At 40.3% G+C, this 12,213-nt stretch overlaps 1 protein-coding gene and 1 long non-coding RNA gene across 3 annotated transcripts in view, besides 1 other annotated feature; one reads left to right on the forward strand and one right to left on the reverse strand.

Moving 5' to 3' along the window:
- Positions 1-12,213, forward strand: part of ACOT13 (acyl-CoA thioesterase 13) — a 37,970-nt gene that overhangs the window by 21,354 nt on the left and 4,403 nt on the right. For both annotated transcript variants that reach the window (NM_001160094.2, NM_018473.4), the window contains one exon: positions 9,453-9,637. In NM_001160094.2, coding sequence (NP_001153566.1) covers positions 9,453-9,637 — 185 coding nt within the window. The remainder of the gene's footprint in view (positions 1-9,452; positions 9,638-12,213) is intronic.
- On the reverse strand, positions 1,277-7,341 carry LOC124901278 (uncharacterized). The gene is made up of 2 exons (XR_007059508.1): positions 6,914-7,341; positions 1,277-6,315 (listed from the first exon to the last, which is right to left on the reverse strand). It is a non-coding gene; the product is annotated as an uncharacterized LOC124901278 (long non-coding RNA).
- Positions 10,867-11,031: a silencer, noted in NCBI's record as "fragment chr6:24699525-24699689 (GRCh37/hg19 assembly coordinates)". NCBI's record gives its function as "represses an EF-1alpha promoter that drives an FKBP-Casp9 reporter gene in an ReSE screen in HepG2 liver carcinoma cells {active_cell/tissue: HepG2}" and the evidence as "EXISTENCE:reporter gene assay evidence [ECO:0000049][PMID:32094911]".

Consider the following 12,213-nt stretch of genomic DNA (forward strand, 5'->3'; position numbering starts at 1 on the left):
GCAGGAGGCTAAGGTGAGAGGAACCCTTGAGCCCAGGAGGTCGAGGCTGCAGTGAGCTATGATCATGCCACTGCACTCCAGCCTGGACAACAAAGTGAGACCCTGTCTCAAAAAAAAAAAAAAAAAAAATTGTGTGAGGGGAAATAACCTAAATGTCCAACCATGGGAGAATTAGTAAAAGAAATCACAGCAACTGCATGTGACTGAGTCCTGTGTTACTATAAGTCACATCTTAAAAATGACTTACTAACAGGAGCATGTCATTAAATGATGTGCACCTTAAAAACTTAGAAATTTCAATTGTTTATTTTTAAAAACATCTACATAGCACTATGTGTCAGGCACTATGCACTTTGTTCATCTGAACTCATCTTTTTATGGCGAGAGATACAATAAAAGTCAAAATACAACGGTCTGGAATTTCACCATATGAATTGGTGTTAAAATCTGATAGGTAAAAAGAACTGTAGAGACAGACTGTAATAGGTAAGTAGGCACAAAAGACATAAATAGGCTGTTCACAGAAAAAAGGCAATAAACATTAAAGGATGCTTAAAAGCACTGTGAGTCTGGCTAATGCAAATTAAAACCATGAGATACTATGTTTTGCTTGTCAGAGTGTAAAAATTAAGGTAATATGCATCTTTGAACCTAGGAGGTGGAGGCTACAGTGAGCTGAGATTGTGCCACTGCACTCCAGCCTGGGCAACGAGAAAAAGACTCCGTCTCAAAAAAAAAACAAACTTTAAAATATATACTCTTAATACCCAGCTATCTAATTTTGTCAGTCTGTCATATACAAATAAAGCATCTTTGTGATGGTAAAAAAAATATAGAAATAACACATTTTAAGAAATAGTTTGATAAATTGTAGTATATTCATAGTAGGGAATACCACACAGCTATTGAAAGAGATCTATATACATTGGGCTGGAGGCTGCGCATGGTGGCGTGCCTTCTCCTTTTGGGTCACTTAAGCCCAGGAGTTTGAGTCCAGCCTGGGCAAAATAGAGAGACCCCATCTCTAAAAAAATTAAAAATAAATAAATTGAGCTAGAGAAATGACTGTGATACATTGGGAAGAGAAAAATGAAAGCTGCCAAGTAATGTATATAATATGATCCCATTTTTGTAATTGAATAAAAGGCAAGAAAAACACCCTTTAAGAAAATTTTGTATACCCTGTGTATATATGAGTAAGCCTAGGGAATGGTATAGAATGATATTCAGCACCGAAAGAGTAGTAGGTAGGAAATTGTACTTCTATGCTGCTTTATATATGTAAAATGAATGTTTTTATTTTTATAATTAAAAATCTAATAAAAACAGTAAGTTAGATGGCGCAGAGATAGGATTGAAGGAATCAGCATACAATTAGTGAAGTAATGAACTCAAGAGTTATTCATATTTTAGAGGAAAGGAATGTGGCATAAACTCACAGCAAATATAAGTATTTTATAAAATTAATTAATTTTAGCAGTAGTGAATGGATGACCAATTTCAAGAGAAATGATGAATACATTTTCTCTGCCATGGAACATAGTCAAGATTTAGTTCTTTCTATGTAGATCCTCTGAGCTACTGCTGAATTAAAAACAGCACTAAGAAAAAACTGTAGTTTTTACTTGGCCATCCTAGGAGTTCCAGGACTTTGTAGCATACAAAGTGAACAGAGATGATTTAAACTTCTTTGTGCCTGTTTTGTTTTGTATGACTAATGGGCTGTTCCCCTGGCCTTGATTTGCCAGATTTGCATTCCTTCAGAGCATCATCCCCTCCTGGGAACTACCGTACTAGATTCCAAACTGAAGCTCAATTGCAAAAATTCTACACAATTTGCGCTTTCCCTCTTTAAAGGAGAACTGGAAGTGTGAACAAGCATTTCCCAAATCCTCAATCTATGGAAGACAGGATAAGAAAGGCTCCTTCCCTGTCAGCCCCCTTTTCCCAGGTTCAAGGCAGTAGAGAACCTGTGTATCAGAGAAGTCTTGCCAATAAGATCCATGTGATAGAGGCCTTCAGAGCACCCACCTTTATAGGCATTCCAGAATGATTCAATAAAATCTGCCACTTACCAGCCTTTGGGGAAGAAAAATATAGTGATTTCTTTTTTAATCATTAAACTTTGTTTTAGTGGGATAGTAATTGTTTTTATTCTTTTGTAGCATATCTGTCACCACCACCACTATCTCAGTGAACAAAAAGAGTGTTACTTAAGCTTAGCTAACTAACCTTCAGGGAATATTTAATTTAATTCCTGTTTGCTCTTCCCTAGGGCTTTGTTTTGCTTCCCATGGCATTAGTTTGCCAACTCTTGTTATTTTTGGCCTTCTCTTATAACCCTTGCTGTTTTGTACACTCCCTGAGGATTAGGGCAACATCGTACTCACCTTTGGATCCTCTACCCTTGCCCCATTTGCCTGCCATTTTCACTTATCCTTCAAAGTCCTTTGCAGGTGACACCTGCTATCTCTGAGAAGGCTTCCCTGGCAGCCCCAAATGTCTTCCTCTGATCTACTTCTACACCTTGACTAACTTTTGTTATAGAACTTTCTGTATATTATTGAAAATATCTGCTGATTTGTTTGTCTTCCCTCTATACTTTTTCCTTGGGAGCCAAGTCCATATGCTTAATAACCATTTGTCAAAGGGAACTTTAGTGCCTAGTGGAAGGTGCCCAGTTGAATGCCTTTTACATAGAAGATTCTCCCCATAGTTTGTTCAGTTAGTTGCTGAAGCCACTAAATATTGGGCATATTGTTATAGAATGCTCCTTGTTGACCTTCAGGTTTCAGTGTATTCATTCACTCAACAAATATTTGAGTGCCTACTATGTGCCTACACCCTTACTGAGCCAGAGACATACATTCCTTTAGGAATGTATTTAGCTACTAAAACATTCCTAGTCTAGGTACTGGAGATACATCAGTGAACACAACTGACAAAAACGCCTGCACGCAATGGAAGTTCTATTTTAGTGGAGCAAATCAAACACTAAACAAAATAGGTAAAGAGAATATATAGTATGTTAGATGGTGATAATTGCTATAAAGGAAAATAAAGGTGGAAGATAGAGAGTATTGGTGCAGGAGAACTTAAATCCACCCCCCACCCTGCCCCAAGATGTGTATTCCTGTAAGTTCTTTTTTTAAGAATTCAATTTTAAATCTTATCTGGAAAGATATCACTGAAACAGTGACGTTTCAATAAAGACCTGAGAAAGTCATGAATACTGAAGGAGGAGAGTGTTCCAGGAAGGGGAACAGAAGGTGTAAAGGCCCTCAGACTTTCCATTGCTGTGCTTTCCATTGTTTGAGGGCCCCATTAGAGAGGGTTTTAAGCAGATGAGTAACATAATTTGACTTCTACAGCTGCTCTTTGACTTACGATGAGGTCGCATTGGGATAAGCCCATCATAAATTGAGATACTTTCAACTTAACAATAGTTTCATCTGAACATAAAGTCAAGGATCATGCTGAAGGCATATCACTTTTGCACTGTTGTTTTCTGTCAAGCAGTCTATATTTTCAAAGGAGCATTCTTGTAGCTACTATTGAGACTAAACATGGGGATGGTGGCAAGGGCAGAAATAGGGAGATAAATTGGAAGTCAGTTGCAACAGCTCAGGAGAGAAATATATCCTATATCCTTCTGAGTGAGTCCAGTATCAAGTCTGGTCTTTGAACGACTAGTTAACTCTAAGACTTAAGAGCCAGCAAAGGAGACTGGGGAGTGGCTGGGAGAGTAGGAGGAAAACCAGGAGGAGGTGGTGTCATGGGAGTTAAGGGAAGGCTAGGAAAAGTTCACGACGTCACCAAATGCTGAGAGGTCACTTAAGGGAAAGAGAGGCTGCCAAGGGTCCTTTGAGTTTTGTAGTTAGGTCATAGTTGACCTCGGCAATAGAAATAATTTTAAGAAAATTCATGCCAAACTATACAAACCAAAGTTTCTGTTTGATAATAGTTTTTATAATAAGGATGCAAATTAAAGTGGTGTTGTTTTGGGGACAGGGTCTCACTCTGTCAGCCAAGCTGTAGTGCAGTGGCACGATCACAGCTTACTGTAACCTTGACCTCTTGGGCTCAAGCGATCCTCCCCACCCCAGCTTCCCTCGGAGCTGGGACTGCAGGCACATGCCACCATGCCTGGCTAATTTTAAAAAATTTTTCTAGAGTTGGGGTCTTGCTGTGTTGCCCAGGCTGGTCTCAAACTCCTGGGCTCAAGCAATCCTCCCACCTCAGTCTCCCAAAATTAAAATGTTTTGATCACCTGTGATATACCAGGCCTTGTCCTAATTTGAATTTTAATCTTAATTTTTACAAAACCCTATAAGGGCAGTACAGTACATTATCTCTATCAATGGGGAAACCTCAGTTCAGGGTCTTGCCTAAGTCTGCTTCCAGAGCCAGTACTCTCAACCATTAAGCGGAAGCCACCTGTGTAATGAAGCTACTGAAACATACATTATAAAGCAGAAATGCTGGACTGATAACAGCAATATGGTTGAACCATGGTACTTTTATAGCATCTACCTTTCTAGAGCCCCTTGAACATAAATGTCATCTGTGTTTGTTGCTGTTGCTACCCCATCACACTGCCACATCCTGTCTTTTTACCTCCTTTCCTGCTTATATGAAGGTGCATTCATACACTGTCCTTAGACACACCTCCTGTCATCTGCAGTGTCACACACAAAGTTAGCAACATCCATGGTCAGGGAAAATTGCTTGAAAACAGCCTTATTCACAAATATACACATACAAAATTGTCATCCATTAAGATTGTCTGTTTTTCTTTGTGCTTCTGTAGACAGTCTTCTTTTGGGGGTGGCTCACGTGTTTATGTACACAGATTTTCTCATACCATATGTCACACTCCTGTGCTTGAGGCCCATTACAGACACCCTTACTGAGCCAGAGACATACATTCCTTTATCTGTTTAGCAGAGGCAGTGGAGGCAGTGGTGGTGAGCTGCATAGCAGCCAGCAGCAGTTACAGTGATGGCAGTGGCTTGTTTATCCCACTGCTCAGCAGAATGCAACCCTTTTAAAAAAAGACCAGAATGATCTGAGATGCCAAGGCTTAAAGAGAATTCTTGGTTCTCAGCTTCATAAAGGACCATCTCAGTGATGAATAACAGCATCTTCACTGCTGTTATTAGGCAGCCCTTCTCCCTATCTATCTTTGCTGAAAAAGTGAGGAAAGGAGAGACTCTGTGTCATGTGGAGTGTCTCTTTGTGATGAATTGTATCTCAGATGGGAGAGGGAGGGTGAGGGGCTATGGCAACCTGAGTCTTTTTTTTTTTTTTTGAGACGGAGTCTCACTCTGTCGCCTAGGCTGGAGTGCAGTGGTGCGAACTCGGCTAACCTCCACTTCCACCTCCCAGGCTCAAGGGATTCTCCTGCCTCAGCCTCCCAAGTAGTTGGGATTATACGTGTGCCCCATCATGCTTGGCTGATTTTTGTATTTTTAGTAGATACAGGGTTTCACCATGTTGGCCAGGCTGGTCTTGAACTACTGACCTCAAGTGATCTGCCTGCCTCGGCCTCCCAAAGTGCTGGGATTACACAGACGAAGTTGCATAAACTCATATGAATGCATGAAGTGCAAGGAAGAGACAGCACGATATAAGGCCATATATAAAAGGGACAGATTATTGTATATGTGTGTGTACATGTAAGAATTGTTATGATATACTGAGGAGCCCATTGTGGCAAATAGTGCTGAGCCATAAAAGTTCTTGCCAACCTACTGCAATTGTCCAACCTGCAGGATCCTGGGACTGAACACATCTGGACAGTTCTCTGTATTGTTAGGCCATGGCAGGTAAATTTTTGACCCCTTGACATCATAAAAGCCTCCATACCATCTTCACCAAGACACCTAAGGAATCAGAACCCAGTTGTCTGTAGCAGTCCAGGTGATATTTGAGGGTAGGCTGTTTTGCATAATGGTTAAACCTGAGACATCCTAGTTAAACTTTTCGACAGTTTCTCATCTGTAAAATGGAGACAATAGTATTCACTTCAAACATTGGCAGCACTGAGACAGCACATGTCAAATTGCTCAGCATGGTCTCTAACATGGAGTTAGCTATGTTGATATAACTGAATAAACAAGTGTGTGCCCTACAGCCCATCTTTACCAAGGCTGAGATGTTTTTTTCACAAGGTTCTCTCCCTACTCCCCTTCCTCATCAGAAAGAAGTTAGCTTTGCATTGGCCTCTTCCCCAGCAAGACTACTTATTAGCTCTGGGAGGGTGGGCAGGACATTCCTTCATCATCTTCCGTTGGTTTAATTCTCTTATTTGACCTGAGGAGACAAGAATTGAGAACATATAAAGGCATTTATATTGCCATATCAGGCTGCCCAGTAAAAAATTCTCTCTATTCCAATGTAAATTTTAAAACAATTTTATTAGTATGTCCTTTGGCCTTTCAAGTTGGGGGGAAAAATCAAAACCAGTATTCTGTACTAGAAAAATCTAACTGACATTTGTCTTACATTTTGTCATCCCAGCCAAAGTTAGGTAATCAAATGGAACTTTAAGAACTAAGCTTTACTGAACAAACTGTGCCTTAAAATACACTTAAACTGAGGCGCGGTGGCTCATGCCTGTAATCCCAGCATTTTGGGAGGCCGAGGTGGGTGGATCACCTGAGGTCAAGAGTTCAAGACCAACCTGGCTAACATGGCAAAACCCCATCTCTACTAAAAATACAAAAATTAGCCAGGCATGGTGGCACGCACCTGTAGTCCCATCTACTCAGGAGGCTGAGGCAGGAGAATCACTTGAACCTGGGATGCAGAGGTCGCAGTGAGCCGAGATTACACCACTGCACTCCAGCCTGGGTGACAGAGCGAGACTCTGTCTCAAAAAACAAAAACAAAAACAACACATTAAAACTACCTTTGCTGTCTACAAGCCGCTCGTATTTAGTTCTATTTCTTCAACTGCCTGGCTTTTTCCCTTATCTTCACCTGGATAACTCCTGCCTGTTCTTCAAGACTCAGATGTCGTTCTCCAGGAAGCCTTTCCTAATGTCTTTTCCCTGGAAATATACATTTTTAAAAGTTAGATATCTTTACTCCAAGAAACCTGTATTTATTCTGTCTACAACAGTTTCTTCCTCTGCAGTTTTTGTACTTGTCTCTTCCTTTAGACACTGAACCCGCTAAGAGCAGGGATTAAACTTCATTCATTTTTTACATTGCCAATGCCTGCTATAAAGAATCACATAAATGTGTGAATGAGGTTAAGTTTACACCTTATTCCTGCTCGGTGTGTATTATTTAGTTTATGAGGACATCTTGTGGCTAGATCATTTATTGCTATAAACAGACGATCATAGGCCAGGCGCGGTGGCTCACGACTCTAATCCCAGCACTTTGGGAGGCCAAGGTGGGTGGATCACCTGAGGTCAGGAGTTCGAGACCAGCATGGTGAAACCTCATCTCTCCTAAAAATACAAAAATTAGCTGGGTGTGGTGGCATGTGCCTGTAATCCCAGCTACTTGGGAGGCTGAGGCGGGAGGATTGCTTGAACCTGGAGGGCAGAGGTTGCAGTGAGCCGAGATCAAGCCACTGCACTCCAGCCTCAGCAACAGAAAAGGACTTCATCTCAAAACAAAAAACAAACAAAAAAACAAAAAACAAAAAACCCAACAACAAAAATCCTGTTCTAAAATTTATTTTTGACATTGATTTACCTGTTTTGCAAAACATGACATAATATTGTTTAGGATGTTTTATATCGCGTGGTTCTGTTTTCCTTCAGGGCCTTCAACAATAAAACCACTAAATAGGTGGTTTGTGAAACTCTCAAATGTCTTCCTGGTGGGAGTCATACCTAGAGGTTACTCATATATAGTTAGTGATTGGGAGATGTGAAGGTGGAAAGACCTACATCTACATCTCAGTTTCCATCACATCTTGGGTGATCTTGAAAATAAATCACTCTGAATTTAAGTTCTCTGCAAAATGGATGTTGTCTCTTCCTTACTATATAGTATATGTAAAGTGCTTGGCACAGTGCCTAGCATATCAAAGTGCCTAATAAATGGTACTTATCTAGAATATAACCAACCATTTAATGCTTGAGACATCCCCCTACTCCCAAACACAACAGACACACCAAATACTCATCCATATTCTTCCTGAACACCTCTAGTGAGGGTGGAAATTACTGTTTTGGATGCAGCACATTCCACTCACAGCTCAGCTCTAACTTATACCATGATATTATACCCTGATGGTTTTTCCTAGTAATTTAAACACAAATATATAAGAAAACTTACCTTTCCATAAGTTGCCTTTTTAAAGATGTTTGATATAAAAATCATAAATTCTTTTTTTTTTTGAGACTGAGTCTCCCTCTGTCATCCAGGCTGGAGTGTAATGGCATGATCTCAGCTCACTGCAACCTCCACCTCCCGGGTTCAAGCGATTCTCCTGCCTCAGCCTCCTGAGTAGCTGAGATTACAAGGGCACGCCACCACACCCGGCTAATTTTTGTATTTTTAGTAGAGACTGGGTTTCACCATGTTGGTAAGGCTGGTCTCAAACTCCTGATCTCGTGATCCACCTGCCTCAGCCTCCCAAAATGCTGGGATTACAGGCGTGAGCCACCGTGCCCAGCCAAAAATCATAAAATTTTAAATGCATTGTTGCATATGTTTATCTTTCATGTAATACTTTTTCCTTATACTTACTATAAATGGGCCAAAACCTTAAAAGCAGTAACTTACTTTGCTGGATTTTATTGTTACATTTACACTTTATACTAACATGGGTTTATAGTATAAAAGTTTTTTTTAAATGCTAGTAACTCAATGACTGAATTTGTCTTTTAAGTTGAACTGTTCATTAAGTGACTTAAAATGTTATTATTCTGCTTGTACAAAACTAGGAAACAACAAATTAAACCTATAATGAGTTAACAGATCTCAGCTGGGTGGCTTTGTTGGCGTCAAAGTTCCAATGAGATAAATGCTAGTAACTCAATGACTGAATTTGTCTTTTAAATTGAACTGTTCATTAAGTGACTTAAAATGTTATTATTATTCTGCTTGTACAAAACTAGGAAACAACAAATCAAACCTATAATGAGTTAACAGATCTCAGCTGGGTGGCTTTGTTGGCGTCGAAGTTCCAATGAGACATTAAAAAATGCCAGGCGTCATACATATGACTGAAAAGCTCAGACTGAATGTTTAATTTCTGCAGAGGAGTGAAGATCAGCAAAAACTACTATTTTTTCACTAAACACTCCTTTTTCTTTAAAAATAACTTGCATAAGGGTTAATTTCTATCAGAGATTGGCAATTTACTTGAATTTCTGAGTCAACTTTTTTCAGAAGATTCAGTTCAATCCATTGTTCTTCATGGGCTTTTTTGGCTTTTCTAATTCTACAGAATTAATGTTCAGGATTCTTTTTTTTACACTTAGATTACTCTTGTCTCTGCTGCTCCTGGGAAAGTGATTTGTGAAATGAAAGTAGAAGAAGAGCATACCAATGCAATAGGCACTCTCCACGGCGGTTTGACAGCCACGTTAGTAGATAACATATCAACAATGGCTCTGCTATGCACGGAAAGGGGAGCACCCGGAGTCAGTGTCGATATGAACATAACGTATGTATCCAAACTGTATTCCAAATCCCTTCTGTGTGATAACTGTCTAAACAACTGAGACTAAACACATTTATATTATTAGTAACGCATGAGATTCAATTAGCTGCTTATCTCCTTAACTGCACCTATAGATTTTGTCCTAAAATATTCCAGCCTTAAAATCTAGAACTAGAGCAGTTAATTTGCAAGTACAGTGTGTATCAATAGTAAAAAGGGAATGATCCCAAACATTCAAAAGAGCAACATTCAGCTTTTAATGTGTATACTGATGCAGGGGGAAAAATCACAAACTGATGGCTCATAACTGTTTCATACAGTCCTTAAAAGTGCCATTCAGGGCCAGACGCAGTGGCTCACGCCTATAATCCCAGCACTTTGGGAGGCCGAGGCAAGAGGATTGCTTGAAGCCTGGAGTTCAAGACCCCCATCTCTACAAAAAATAAATATTATTTAATTTTAAAAATACCACTTATAACACTATGAGGATTGTATTGAGTACATACAATTCAAAGTAAAGTTAGAGTTCATATACACATTATAATCTTACTCTAACAAACTGAACACCATTGCTGGGGTTTTTTTTTTTTTTTGGACACGGAGTCTCCCCATCACCCAGGCTGGAGTGCAGCGGCACAATCTGGCTCACTTCAGCCTCCGCCTCTGGGGCTCAAGTAATTCTCCTGCCTCAGCCTCCCTAGTAGCTGGGATTACAGGTGTGCGCCACCATGCTGGGCTAATTTTTGTGTTTTTAGTAAAGACGGGGTTTCACCATGTTGGCCAGGCTGGTCTTGAACTCCTGACCTCCAGTGTCCACCCACCTCAGCCTCCCAAAGTGTTGAGTTTTAAGAATGGGCAGCAATCCTGGATCTCTCCCTGTGACTACACAGACATGTTCTGTGAGTTAAACTACATGATCAGGGAACAGTGCCCCTCAGGGTCAAACTTCCAAAATGTAAGAAACTCAATTCCAACATAAACTGGTACTACTGCAGCCCCATTCAATAAAGAAAGAGCTGGGCACAGGGATTTAGTTTCAAGACAACTGCTTTTTCCACCTAAGCAACAAAAATGTAACTAACTGAGAGGTCAGGTTGAGAGAGCCATTGTGAGTAGATATGAGGGTAATGGAAATAATGTAGGCTTTTTTTTTTTTTTTTTTTGAGACGGAGTCTCGCTTTGTGGCCCAGGCTGGAGTGCAGTGGTGCAGTCTCGGCTCACTGCAAGCTCCGCCTCCCGGGTTCACACCATTCTCCTGCCTCAGCCTCCCGAGTAGCTGGGACTACAGGCGCCTGCCACCATGCCCGACTAATTTGTTTGTATTTTTAGTAGAGATGGGGTTTCACCGTGTTAGCCAGGCTGGTCTCGATCTCCTCACCTTGTGATCTGCCCGCCTTGGCCTCCCAAAGTGCTGGGATTACAGGCGTGAGCCACCGCGCCCAGCCAATGTAGGCTTTTAAGGAATCTAAATATTTTATCAAGTTTACTTAAGAAACATTCAGTCCCTCTTCATGGGAATAACTTAAATTGAGGGTACAATAAGCAAATTACAAGATGCAGCCAAATGCTCTTTTTGAAATTAAGATGTACAGAAAAGAAAGGCTCTGCTTATGTTACTGGTGTGCATATTCAGCAGTCCTTATTTCATGTGGTAAGAGGTGAGATCAGTAGATGACTTGATTTTCCCTAAAAGTCTCTATTAAGAGCAGAGAGATCTTCAAACCTAGCACTGCATTTCATGATCTACTAAGGTACTTTTGCCTTTAGAACCCTAAGGAATTTTCAGTAAGTCAAACATAGTTTTGGCCTTTCAAATATGTGTTGCCAAAAGCATTGGCCATCAAGAGCTGCCTACGCTTCAAAAACTGATTCACTTCAACAAAAACTAGGACATGGTCTTTCAAAAGTTAGAGATATTTCAAAAGTAAATGAATAATGTTTCAGTCAGTTAACACTTCATGATTCACTCTTTGATTTACTTGACATGGTACCAAATTTACTCCACCCCTGCACATCAAGTCCTATATTATACAGACTGAGGATGCCTGTTAGACTGTGACTTAGGTTAAAAACAAGCGAGGTTCCAAAACAACAAAAGGGGAAATTTTAGAGTATTACTGACAAAATGTCAATCTCCAAATTCCCCGGACTTAATGTTTACTCATCTGTAGCACAAAGGGTTCCTTATCTTCCCTCAGTTTAAGTTAATGGCTGTTAGCCAAAATTCTTGATTTCTAAGACAAAATTTAGGGAAATAATAAAAACTGGCCAAACTACTACTAAACATACTATTTTTCATTTCTTTACATTGAGGTATGTGAATTAAAGACAAGCCTGTTCTTTCCAGCAATAAGATCCACCTTTTTTTTTTTTTTTTTTTTTTTTTTGTGAGATGGAATCTTGCTCTGTTGCCCAGGCTGGAGTCCAGTGGCGCGATCTCGGCTCACTGCAACCTCTGCCTCCTGGGTTCCTGCCATTCTTCTGCCTCAGCCTCAAAAGTAGCTGAGATTACAGGTGCCCACCACCATGCCTAGCTAACTTCTGTATTTTTAGTTGAGACGGGGTTTCACCACGTTGGC

This window comes from Homo sapiens, chromosome 6 (assembly GCF_000001405.40).
Source record: "Homo sapiens chromosome 6, GRCh38.p14 Primary Assembly".
Lineage (NCBI taxonomy): Eukaryota > Metazoa > Chordata > Mammalia > Primates > Hominidae > Homo > Homo sapiens.